Below are 13,329 nucleotides of genomic sequence, written 5' to 3'. Positions count from 1 at the left end.
GGAGGCCGAGGCAGGTGGATCACCAGGTCAGGAGATTAAGAACATCCTGGCTAACACAGTGAAACCCCGTCTCTACTAAAAATACAAAAAATTAGCCGGGTATGGTGGTGGGCGCCTGTAGTCCCAGCTACTCAGAAGGCTGAGGGAGGAGAATAGAACAGCGTGAAGCCGGTAGGCGGAGCTTGCGGTGAGCCGAGATCACGCCACTTCACTCCAGCCTGGGCGACAGAGCAAGACTCTGTCTCAAAAAAAAAAAAAAGAAAAAAAGAAAAAAAAAAGAGTCTTCTTTTTTTGTTTTTGAGACAGAGTCTCGCTCTGTCACCCAGGCTGGAGTGAAGTGGTGTGATCTCGGCTCACTGCAATCTCCGCCTCCTGGGTTCAAGCAATTGTCCTGCCTCAGCCTCCTGAGTAACTGGCATTATAGGTGAGAGCCACCACACCCAGCTAGTATTTGTATTTTTAGTAGAGACAGGGTTTCACTATGTTGGTTAGGCTGCTCTTGAACTCCTGACCTCGTGATCCGCCCACCTCGGCCTCCCAAAGTCCTGGGATTACAGGCGTGAGCCCAGCCATGATTATATCAGGGAAACAAGATGTATGTCACTTATATGTACCCGATCCAACTGTAAACATTTGTTTGAATATACTTTTATAGGAACCTTACAGATACATAGATTTGGAGTCTGAAAGATAATACAATGAAATGAAAGGTCATGTTCTCAACCCCTCTGACCAACCTGCAATGGTAGAGATTTGGCTCACTGGGATGGTAGCAGCCTTCTGGAGGTCCATCTTTATCTTTTTGGCCTGCCAGAAGAGAACAGTGAGAAAGCAGTGTTCTGAAGAGCTGAGTAGATGTCACTTAGAATCAGGTAAAGTGACATGCCAGCTACATTCCTTTGGGACACGAAGTGATCATTCTCTGAGAACCATCAAGTCCACAAAATTACTGCCATATACCTCTCCCCTACCTGACTGTCCTTGCTGTTGGTCAGGCCCTCAAAGGTCAACACACACTGCATGGAAGCATCCTGCAGCTGCTGGTACCACTGCATTGTAATGTCTTGTACCTTCACCTGGAGGTCTGAGAAATAAAAGAGAGGTTTTAGTAATAGCTAGTATTTACTGAACATGTAATATGAGGCAGGCACTGTTATAATCACTTTATGTATGTACTGACTGCTTTAACTGTCACCATAACTATGAAATAGATACTATTATTATCTCCATTTTATAGAAAAGGAAACAGGCACAAAAAGGTTAAGTGATTTGCCATGGTCACATTACTACTAAGTAGAAAAACTAAGGCTGGGTGTGGTGACCCACGCCTATAATTACAGTACTCTAGGAGGCCAAGACAGGCCCAGGAGCTTGAGACCAGCTTGCACAACATGGTGAAATCCCATCTCTACAAAAAATACACAAATTAGCCAGGCAGGGTGGCGCATGCCTGTAGTCCCAGTTACTTGGGAGGCTGAGTGGGGAGGATCACTTGAGCCTGGGAGGGTGAGGCTATAGTGAGCCATAATCATACCACTGTACTCCTCCAGCCTGGGTAACAAGAGTGAGACTCCTATCTCAAAAAAAAAACAAAAAACAAAAAACGCTGGGCGCAGTGGCTCATGCCTATAATCCCAGCACTTTGGGAGGCCAATGCTGGCAGATCACCTGAGGTCGGGAGTTCGAAACCAGCCTGACCAACATGGAGAAACCCCGTCTCCACTAAAAATACAAAAAAATTAGCCAGGTGTGGTGGTGCATGCCTGTAATCTCAGCTACTCAGGAGGCTGAGGCAGGAGAATCGCTTGAACCTGGGAGGCGGAGGTTGTAGTGAGCTGAGATTGTGCCATTGCACTCCAGCCTGGGCAACAAGAGCAAAACTCTGTCTCAAAAAAAACAAAAACAAAAACAAAACACACCAAAAAAGAAAAATTAGACTCCCAGGCTGGGTGCGGTGGCTCACACCTGTAATCCTAGCATTTTGGGAGGCCGAGGCGGGTGGATCATGAGGTCAGGAGTTTGAGACCAGCCTGGCCAACGTGGTGAAATCCCATCTTTACTAAAAATACAAAAATTAGCCAGGCACAGTGGCAGGCACCTGTAATCCCAGCTACTCGGGAGGCTGAGGCAGGAGAATTGTTTGAACCCGGGAGGCAGAGGTTGCAGAGAGCCAAGATCGCGCCACTGCAATCCAGCCTGGGCAACAAGAGCAAATCTCCATCCCCTCCCCGCAAAAAACAACAACAACAACAACAACAACAAAAACCAGACTCCCACTGATCTGGCTCCAGAGTCAGCACTCTCAAACACTATGGTACACTGATTCTTTTTCTTTTTTTGAGACGGAGTCTCACTCTGTCACCAGGTTGGAGTGCAGTGGCACCACCTCAGCTCACTGCAACCTCCAGCTCCTGGGTCAAGCAATTCTCCTGCCTTAGCCTCCCGAGTAGCTGGGACTACAGGTGCGTGCCACCATGCCCAGCTAATTTTTTTATTTTTGGTAGAGATGGGAGTTTCGGCATGTTGGCCAGGCTGGTCTCGAACTCCTGACCCCTTATACGTATTACACCAACACATATCTGTGCGCATTTATTTAAAATACTCAGCAGCAGCAATAATTGAAATAATGTATCTGCTAGAGTTATACAGAATTTCAAGTCCTCACGCAAAGTGTTGGAATCGTAAATCAGACTCTACATCAACCAAAACTGAATGAAATACATTACATAAAATTCTGGTTAACTGTCCTACAGTTTAACACAACATTCAAAACATGCTCTTGTTTCTCTTCACATTTGAAACTTACGAGTTAAAGGACCACATCCATACTGAAACCCACCTTCATTCTGTTTCCCTCCTGGGCCCTGGCTGGGAGCTGGGGGCTCTTTGTGGGCCTCTGGTCCCTGCTGCATCTGTGCCTCTTGCAGCTTTACCTGGGCCTCTTCTTCATCCTGCCTCCTCTTGTCTTCGCAGGCTCTGGTGATCTCCTGCCCCAAGTTCATCAGGAGGTCCCGCATTTCCCGCAGAGCTCGCTCAGCCTCAGCTTGACTCTCTGCTGTGGGATAGCTGCTCTGTCAGAGTGACGGAGATGGTGCTTAGTGGTCATTCCCTAGGTAAATCATACCTCATACAAGTCAATAAATTTCCTGCAATTGGAATTGTTGCACCAATGGAGTATCCACATTCAACGAATTGATACTTCTTTCCCTGTTCTCTTAAAGGTATTAATAATTCCAACTTACTGTCACATCCATAGTTTCTAAGTATAAATTGGTCTGTATTCTCAGCAACAAGGGCCAGCGTAATTTTTTAAAAAGTTTGTGACAATATGTTAGACAAAAATAATACTGTTTTATTATAATAATAATTATTTTTTGAGACAGAATCTCCATTGCCCAGGTTGGAGTGCAGTGGCAAGATCTCGGTCATTGCAACCTTTGCCTCCCAGGTTCAAGTGCTGCTCGTGCCTCAGCTTCCCAAGTAGCTGGGATTACAGGTGTGCGTCACCACACCCAGCTAATTTTTGTATTTTTAGTAGAGACTGGGTTTCACCATGTTGGCTGAAACCTACTGGTCTCGAACTCCTAGCCTCAAGTAATCCGAGAATCGCTTGAACCTGGAAGCCGGAGGTTGAAGTGAGCCATGATCACACCACTGCACTCCAGCCGGGGCAAGAGTGTGAGACCCTGTCTCAAAAAAAAAAAAAAAAAAAAAAAAAAAAAGCAAAGCAAAGAAACAGGGCAGGTACAATGGCTCGTGCCTGTAACCCCAATACTTCGGGAGGCTAAGGTGGGAGGATCACTTCAGCCCAGGAGTTCAAGACCAGCCTGGGAAACATAGTGAGATCTCTATTGCTAATTTAAAAACAAAACGAAACAAAAAAAGTTTGGCACCGTGGCTCACACCTGTAATCTCAGCAGTTTGGGAGGCCGAAGTAGGGGGATCACTTCAGCCCAGGAGTTAGAGACCAGCCTGAGCAACATGGCAAAACCCTGTCTCTACAAAAAAATACAAAAATTAGCAGGGCATGGTGGTATGCGCCTGTAGTCCCAGCTACTCAGGAGACTGAGGTGGGAGGATCACTTGAGCCCGGGAGGCAGAGGTTGCATGAGCTGAGACTGTGTTACTGCACTCCAGCCTGGGTGACAAAGGGGAACCCCATCACAAAAAAAAAAAAAAAAAAAAAAAAAGACTCCAGAATAAGCAGGTATAAAAATAAAGAAATAAATAAAAGAAACAAAATAAAATGTTAACAGTGGTTACTTCTAGGTAAAGAGATATGGAGATAACAAGTAATGTTTGGTATTTCCCCCAATAAGCAGATAGCAGGTATTACTTTTTAAGTCAGAAAACAGTTTTGCTTTTAAAGGCTTCCATTTCAAAGACAGCAAAGAGTCACTCTGAAGCCCCCCTCACCTCTGAAGAGGCCCGGATGATCCCTGAGATGAGGCTGCACAGCTGGTTGCCTCGGGTCTGGAAGGCAGCCAGGTCGACCTTAAGCAGGGCTTTGTGCTGCTCAGAGGCATCCAGCTGCTGGCTGAGCTGCAGCATCTCCTCCTGCAGAGCATAGAGGGCCCGCAGGCGGATCTGGCCTTCTTCCTTCCGAAGCCGCTCCTGTTCTGCTTGCTTCACGCGCTGCTGCTCTGCTTCCCGCAGCTTCAGGTTGAGAATCTGTAGAAAAGGGCTGAGTGACTTCTCTCTGAGGGGTTCCTGGGCTTCTTCTTTCTACAGTCCTCAAATTCTACGTGGGCTACATATTTTCACAGATGGGCTCAGAGCAGGAAGAGGACATCCCAAGGTTAGTCATACACAGGCATAATACGGCCCAGATCCTCCATGGTGGCCATCTGCCAAAACCTGGCTCTCCAGGCAGGTTACAGACAGACACCAAAACACCCACACCAATTCTGCCAGGCTCTGACCTTTGCTCTGTGACGGTGCTCAGCTTTTAGCTTCTCTTGGTGTCCCAAGGCTTCTCTGGAGCTGCATGAAAAATGGCAGGGAGGAATAGTCAGGGATACTTCCTGAAATTGTTTTTCTTTCTTTCTTTTCTCTCCCTCTCCCTGCCCTCCCTTCCCTTCCTTCCCTTTTTCTTAGAGATGGGGTCTCGTTATGTTGCCCAGGCTGCAGAGCATAGCTCACCACAGCCTCAAACTCCTGGACTCAAGCAATCCTCCTGCCTCAGCCTCTCTAGTAATTGAGACTACAGCTGTGTTCCACCACGCCCGTAAAATTGTTTTACCTCTCCTAAAAGCCTCCCTCTTTGTGTTCCTTTGGTTGTCTCTCCAAGTTTGGTCTTTTTTCCAGGTTATAAAATTCTCTGCCTATTTTACCTTGATATTTAAGGACTCAGAAGTTGTTCAACTCTTTCCCTTTGGAATTCCTCTTGGGAAAGAGTTCCAGTTGAACACATCAACATTCCCAGTCATAATTCAGGGAGACTCACCTCTTCTCCATTACTTCCCGCAAGTCCTGGAATTCTTTATGCTGCTTCAGTTCCTTCCATTCATCAAACCGCTTCAGTTGTTCAGATGCCATCTCCGAGAGGGCTTGCACCTTCCTCTCCTGCTCCTCCTGCCATAGCCTCAGGCCCTCCTGAAAAGGTTTTTTTTTTTTTTTTTTTTTTTAAGATGGAATCTCTCTCTGTCGCCAGGCTGGAGTGCAGCTCACTGCAACCTCCAACTCCCGGGTTCAAGCGATTCTTGTCTCAGCTCCCCAAGTAGCTGGGACTACAGGTGCCTGCCACCATGCCCAGCTAATTTTTGTATTTTTAGTAGAGACGGTTTCACCATGTTGGCCAGGATGGTCTTGATCTCTTGACCTTGTGATCCGCCTGCCTTGGCCTCCCTAAGTGCTCGGATTACAGGCGTGAGCCACCTCGCCCGGCCGAAAATGTTTAACACCTGCTCTCTGGAGCGCCTTCAACACCTTGATCATTTACCCCTGCGGGCTACCTGCCCATCGGCCCCTAACACCATCAGAGATACTTAAGGGCATGGAATCAGAACCTTTGCAGGAATATCCTTTCTCCTTTTGCTTGATCTTTAAGCTCAGCTGTTTTGGAAAGCTCTTCCAATTGCCCCATATGGTTTATGTCACTCCAGTACAAGTTGGGAACGGACAGGAATTTAGCAACATGACATCAAACAGCCATGCACTATTAAGCTTCCATCCTGTGTAGTCTTATGGGGTTCATTGGTAATTTACGGAAATCCTCATTCTAATTCCATAAACAAGCTATACACATTCCTATCTCACTGATTTTGTTAATCTCTGCCTCGAAGATTTTCTCCTGGACCTCCACTAAGGAAAGTCCTTTTCCTTAGTACCTAAGGGTATCAGATATTGAATTTATCATTTCATGAGAGTACTCACATATGGTTAAAGGCAATTTGACATTTTAACTATCAAAATTTGAAGTGTCTATATCCTTTGACACTTGTTCCATTTCAGGAATTTATCCTGAGGAAATGCTTGTATGTGTGTGCAAAGATATATGTACAAGAATGCTCACTGGAGCCCTGTTGATAACAGCAATACATTTAAAACCACTTAACTGGGGAATGACGACACGTATTATAGTACAGTCATACTGCAGAATACTATGCAGCCCTTAAAGATGACGAGATGCCAGCTAGCATGGAGATATGTCAAAATCTACTGTTAAGACATTATGTTATTTTATTTTAAAACATAATTATATTTTATTTTGTTTATTTGTTTATTTTTGAGACAGGGTCTCACCCTGTCATGTAGGCTAGAGTGCAGTGGCACACTTATAGCTCACGGCAGCCTTGAACTCCTGAGCTCAAGGGATCATCCCAACTCAGCCACCTGAGTAGCTGGGACTAAAGGTGTCCACTATCACACGGGGCTAATTTTTAAATTTTTTATAGAGTCAGGGTCTCACTATATTGCCCAGGATGGTCTAGAGCTCCCGATCTCAAGCTATCCTCCCACTTTGGCCTCCCAAACTGCTGGGATTATAGGCATAAGCCAACTGTACCCAGTCTTAAAACTTATTTTAAAGCTTCCAGCGAAAGAAGGCAAACTAAACAAGCATATATGTCCTCTCCTCTGGGACTCTGTTAAAGTGAGAATTGGAAAGAAAAAAAAGACATAACACCACATAGAGCATGAGAGATGTCACCAGCAGGGAAAAATCTTCTACATACTTCTGGAAAACAGTCAGTGGAGAAATAGCCAGGTGCACTGGCTGAGATCTGTAATCCCAGCACTTGAGGAGGCCAAAGTGGGAGGATCACTTGAGCCCAGGAGTTCGAGACCAGCCTGGGCAACAGAGAGACCCCCGTCTCTACCAAAAATTTAAAAATTATCTGGCTGTGGTGGTGCACACCTGCAGTCCCAGTTATTTAGAAAGCAGAAAGAGCTGAGGTAGGAGGAATGCCTGAACCCAGGAGGTCAAGGCTGCAAGGAGCGGTGATTGCACCACTGTATTCCAGCCTGAGCAACGGAGCGAGACCCTGTCTTTAAAAAAAAAAAAATAGTGGAGAAGCAATAAATGATAGAGCAGAGCTGAGAAAACCCAAGGATACACACACACACACACGATGTGTGTGAGAAGCAGACGATGCCTCACGGGAGCAGAAAGCCAATCTACCAGCCGAACTGCAGAGTCTCAAGACTGGGAAATGCCACGACTCATATAGGTGGGCCTCATCAGGCTGAAAACGGAGCTACCGGCTAAATGTTTGTAGACAAAACAGTCAACTCTTGCTGTCTTCCCCTAGTCATTAGATCAAAACAGCCAAGAGCCAAGCATTTGTGCTATAATGATTTTATTGTATTTTTTATATATATATACATATATATACATATATACATATATATACATATATACACACATACATATATACACATATACATATATACATATATACACACATACATATATACACATATACACATATACACACATATACATATATACACATATATACATATATACACATATATATACACACATATATACATATATATATATATTTTTTGGAGACACAGTCTCACACTGTCACCCAGGCTGGAGTGCACTGGCACCATCTCGGCTCACTGCAACCTCCGCCTCCCAGGTTCAAGCGATTCTCCTGCCTCAGCCTCCCAAGTAGCTGGGTTTACAGGCATGTGCCACCACGCCCAGCTAATTTTTGTATTTTTAGTAGAGACGGGGTTTCACAGTGTTGGCCAGGATGGTCTCGATCTCTTGACCTTGTGATCCTCCCGCCTCAGCCTCCCAAAGTGCTGGGATTACAGGTGTAAGCCACGGGTGCCCTATTGGGGAACCTGCCCCAATAGTCATGTAGGTTCTTTTCTATTTTCCCTAAGCATTGGCCAGCTTGAAAAATAAAGGGACAGAGTACAAAAGAGAGAAATTTTAAAGCTGGGCATCCGGGGGAGACATCACATGTCGGTAGGTTCTGTGATGCCCCACAAGCCGTAAAACCAGCAAGTTTTTATTAGGGAGTTTCAAAAGGGGAGGGAGTATACGAATAGGGTGTGAGTCACACACATCAAGTACTTCACAAGGTAACAGAATATCACAAGGCAAATGGAGGCAGGGCGAGATCGCGAGATCACAGGACCACAGGACCACAGGACCAGGGTGAAATTAAAATTGCTAATGAAGTTTCAGGCACCACTGTCATTGATAACATCTTATCAGGAGACAGGGTTTTGAGAGCAACCGGTCTGACCAAAATTTATTAGGCAGGAATTTCTTCTTCCTAATAAGCCTGGGAGCGCTATGGGAGACTGGGGTCTATGTCACCCCTACAGTCTACAGACCATAAAAGACGGCCACATGCAGGGGGCCATCTATAGACCTACCCCCAGGCGCGTATTCTCCTTCCCAGGGATGTTCCTTGCTGAGAAAAAGAATTCAGCGATATTTCTCCCATTTGCTTTTGAAAGAAGAGAAATATGGCTTTGTTCTGCCCAGCTCACCGGCGGTCAGAGTTTAAGGTTATCTCTCTTGTTTCCTAAACATTGCTGTTATCCTGTTCTTTTTTCAAGGTGCCCAGATTTCATATTGTTCAAACACACATGCTCTACAATTTGTGCAGTTAATGCAATTATCACAGGGTCCTGAGGCGACATACATCCTCTTCAGCTGACAGGATTAAGAGATTAAAGTAAAGACAGGCATAGGAAATCACAAGGGTATTGATTAGGGAAGTGATAAGTGTCCATGAAATCTTTACAATTTATGTTTAGAGATTGCAGTAAAGACAGGCATAAGAAATTATAAAAGTATTAATTTGGGGAACTAATAAATGTCCATGAAATCTTCACAATCCATGTTCTTCTGCCATGGCTTCAGCCAGTCCCTCCATTTGGGGTCCCTGACTTCCCGCAACAGTGCCCAGCTTTTTTTTTTTTTTTTGGAGTCTCGCTCTGTCGCCCAGGCTGGAGTGTAGTGGTGCAATCTTGGCTCACTGCAAACTCCGCCTCCTGGGTTCAAGCGATTCTCCTCCCTCAGCCTCCCAAGTAGCTGGGACTACAGGTGCCTGCCACCATGCCTGGCTAATTTTTGTATTTTTAGTAGAGACGGGGTTTCACTATGTTGGCCAGGCTGGTCTCGAACTCCCGACCTCGTGATCCATCCACCACGGCCTCCCAAAGTGCTGGGATTACCAGTGCAAGCCACCATGTCCAGCTATTTTATTTTTATTTTTTATTTTTTAGAGACGGATTCTCAACTCTGTCACCCAGGCTGGAGTACAGTGGTGCGATTTTGGCTCACTGCAACCTCCACCTCCCAGGTTCGAGTGATTGTCCAGCCTCAGCCTCCTGAGTAGCTGGGATTACAGGCGTGCACCACTATGCCTGCCTAATTTTTGTATTTTTAGTAGAGACAGGGTTTTACTGTGTTGGCCAGGCTGGTGTCAAACTCCTGACCTCAAGTGATCTGCCTGCCTCGGCCTCCGAAAGTGCTGGGATTACAGGTGTGAGCCAACAGGCCCGGCCCTGTGCTGTAATGATTTTAAAACAGATCTGCAAATTGTCTGACAATCCTTCCATACCCTCTACTTCAACCTGAGTGGACTTTATGACTACCGTGACTAACAGAATACGGAAAAAAAAAAAAATAGGCCAGGCACGTGAGTTTTTTTTAAGAAAATGAATAAACTGTCCAGAAACAGCTAATCAGTATGGGAACTAGTATTCCAAAACAATATGCTGGCACTTAGGAAGTCCTAAAGCTTAATAACCTTGTTTCTGATTATTCCCCTTGAATCTCTGATCTGATTACTAGCAATAAGGATCTTTAGATAACTGAGGAATCTCTATATCCTAAAAGGGATCAAGATGAACAAATAAAAAATAATGAATCCAGAAGGACATGTATATCAAGGAACACAAGTGAATCTGAAAAAGAGCTCTGAATATGATAAGAAATGAGAATAAGATGCTCTGAAAAAGGAAGAAGTGGAGAATACAAAAAAACTCATGAAAATTAGACATAATAAATACATATATATTTTTTCAATCAACAGGTGGAGAATAAAATATAGAAATCTTCTAGAAAACAAAACAATAAGACAAAAGGAAAATGAAAGAAAGAATAGGACATATAGAGGATTAACTTAGGCAATGGAGAGGTGAACTAATCAAGGGGAAAAATTTCCAAAGATGCAGGAAATAAATCTTTGAATTAAAACAACTCTGATATGCAGAATTAGTCGTTTCTCACCATCTCCATTGCTACCACCCTACTCTAAGCAACCACCATCTTTCACCCAGATTACAACAATGTTCCAAATATTTTACTTATTTCTCTTGTTTACTTCTGTCTCTTCCCACCACAATATAAGCTCTATGTCTATAATGTTTACTGTTTTATCTAGACCTGGAACAGCATCTAGCACATAGGTGCTCAGCAAATATTTATTGACTCAATGACCAATGAGGCAAGATGTTAGAAGACTTTCATTTTCTTTTTCTTTTTTTTTTTTGAGATAAAGTATTGCCCTGCTGCCCAGGCTAGAGTGCAGTGGCACAATCTTGGCTCACTGCCACCTCTGCCTCCCGGGTTCAAGTGATTCTCCTGCCTCAGCCTCCCCAGTAACTAGTATTATAGGCATGTGCCACCATGCCCGGCTAATTTTTGTATTTTTAGTAGAGATGGGGTTTCGCCATGTTGGCCAGGCCAGTCTGGAACTCCTTATCTCAGGTGATCCACCTGCCTCACCCTCCCAAAGTGCTGGGATTACGGGCATGAGCCTCCGTGCCTGGCCAAGACTTTCATTTTCTAAATTCCTGTACTCTGAAACATTTTTACAAGATCATGCATTGCTTTCCTAATTAAAAAAAAATACATGCTGGGCGCAGTGGCTTATGCCTGTAATCCCAGCACTTTGGGAGGCTGAGGTGGGTGGATCACCTGAGGTCAGGAGTTTGAGACCAGCCTGGCCAACACGGTGAAACCCCGTCTCTACTAAAAAATACAAAAATTAGCCAGGCGTGGTGGCAGGCGCCTGTAATCTCAGCTACTTGGGAGGCTCAGGCAGGAGAATTGCTGGAACCCAGGAGGCGGAGGTTGCAGTGAGCCAAGATTGCACCACTGCACTCCAGCCCGGGCTGACAACAGCAAGACTCTGTCTCAAAAAAACAAAAACAAAAAACAGGCCGGGCACGGTGGCTCATGCCTGTAATCCCAGCACTCTGGGAGGCCGAGGCGGGCAGATCACGAGGTCAGAAGATCAAGACCGTCCTGGCTAACACGGCAAAACCCTGTCTCCACTAAAAATACAAAAAATTAGCTGGGCGTGGTGACAGGCACCTGTAGTCCCAGCTACTTGGGAGGCTGAGGCAAGAGAATAGCATGAACCTGGGAGGCGGAGCTTGCGGTGAGCCGAGATGGTGCCACTGTACTACAGCCTGGGCAACAGAGCAAGACTCCATCTCAAAAACAAAAACAAAAACAAAATACAATCAAATAAATTAATTAAAATAGTGCTGCTATTTTTTCAAGAGGCTAAGGTCCTGACTGGGCATCGTGGCTCATGCCTGTAATCCCAGCACCTTGGGAGGCTGAGGCAGGTGAATCACCTGAGGTCAGGAGTTCGAGACCAGCCTGACCAACATAGTGAAACCCCGTCTCTAGTAAATAGAAAATAAAGTAGCTGGGTGTGGTGGCGCGAGCCTGTAATCCTAGTTACTTGGGAGGCTGAGGCAGGAGAATCACTTGAACCTGGGAGGTGGAGGTTGCAGTGAGCCAAGATTACACCACTGTAGTCCAGTCCAGCCTGGGCAACAAGAGCAAAAACTCCACCTCAAAAAAAAAAAAAAAGAGGCTAAGGTCCCATTTTCTCAGAATAAGCTTATCTAACAATCCCAGACCATTTCCAAATTTTGGAGAAGTAAATGGAAGCCAGAAAAGGCTAAGTAATTTTCCCAAAGTCACATGTAAAATGTAACAGCCAGGATCTGAAACCAGACTTGACTTCAGAGCACTCACTCCTGACCTCTATTACACTACCCCCAAAACTAAACAGTAGGTGGGAAGGATGAGTAGCATACAGTGCCCATTCCTACGCCCTGGGGAACTGCAGTTAAATGTGGCTCGCAGGATCAAGGCTGCCTTCCTTCATGGGTTCACTTACTGTTCCTTTCATTCTGTGTACCAGTTCGTACATTCGGACGCAGCCTTCCACTTTGATCCCCCGTGAGGACTGAAGTACCATAGATTCTGTGTGCTGGGACTCATCTTTGCCCTATATGAGCAGAAAATGGAAAAATAATTAAAAAATAAGTTTTTAATATGGTAAAGTTGGTGTTATCTCTTCTAGACAAAGACCACATCCCAACTTATGAACAACCACCAATAACAAGAGCAAAAAAAAAATTTAGGTCAGAACTAGTGTGCTTTTCATGAATGACATTGACTTTGTTCTAATTGTTTTCTTTAATAAATTGATGTTTGTTACTTTGGGTGATTTTTTGGGTTTTTCTATGTTTTTTTTGACTTGTTTGTTTTACTCTGCCTAGAAAATGTTTCCCCTTTCTTCAGATCAGTGTCCATTTATCCTGGGATGCTTTGGATGGAGTATCCCCAACCTACATCCCTAAGCTTCCATCCTCCTGGCTTCAGGAGAAAGCTGGCTATCAAAGTACTCTATCCTCAGGCCGGGTGTGGTGGCTCACGCCTGTAATCCCAGTACTTTGGGAGGCAGAGGTGGGCGGATCACAAAGTCAGGAGTTCGAGACCATCCTGACCAACATGGTGAAACCCCGTCCCTACTAAAAACACAAAAATTAGCCAGGCGTGGTGGCACGCACCTATAATCCCAGCTACTGAGGAGGCAGGCT

General features: G+C 45.0%; 1 protein-coding gene across 10 annotated transcripts in view; it reads right to left on the bottom strand.

The window, feature by feature from the left end:
- Positions 1-13,329, bottom strand: part of GLE1 (GLE1 RNA export mediator) — a 37,597-nt gene that overhangs the window by 14,026 nt on the left and 10,242 nt on the right. For 8 of the 10 annotated variants that reach the window (XM_006717060.4, NM_001499.2, XM_024447519.2 and 5 more), the window contains 7 exons: positions 12,624-12,734; positions 5,447-5,595; positions 4,923-4,983; positions 4,417-4,671; positions 2,840-3,071; positions 972-1,084; positions 738-807 (listed from right to left, as the gene is read on the bottom strand). In XM_006717060.4, coding sequence (XP_006717123.1) covers positions 738-807; positions 972-1,084; positions 2,840-3,071; positions 4,417-4,671; positions 4,923-4,983; positions 5,447-5,595; positions 12,624-12,734 — 991 coding nt within the window. Of the gene's footprint in view, positions 1-737; positions 808-971; positions 1,085-2,839; positions 3,072-4,416; positions 4,674-4,922; positions 4,984-5,446; positions 5,596-12,623; positions 12,735-13,329 lie in introns of those variants that run through there. The other 2 variants (XM_047423236.1, XM_047423235.1) reach the window with 2 other exon arrangements.

Source organism: Homo sapiens, chromosome 9 (genome assembly GCF_000001405.40).
Source record: "Homo sapiens chromosome 9, GRCh38.p14 Primary Assembly".
NCBI classification, from domain to species: Eukaryota; Metazoa; Chordata; class Mammalia; order Primates; family Hominidae; genus Homo; species Homo sapiens.
Note: the sequence above shows the minus strand (reverse complement) of the source record. Positions and strands in the feature narration are given on the sequence as shown.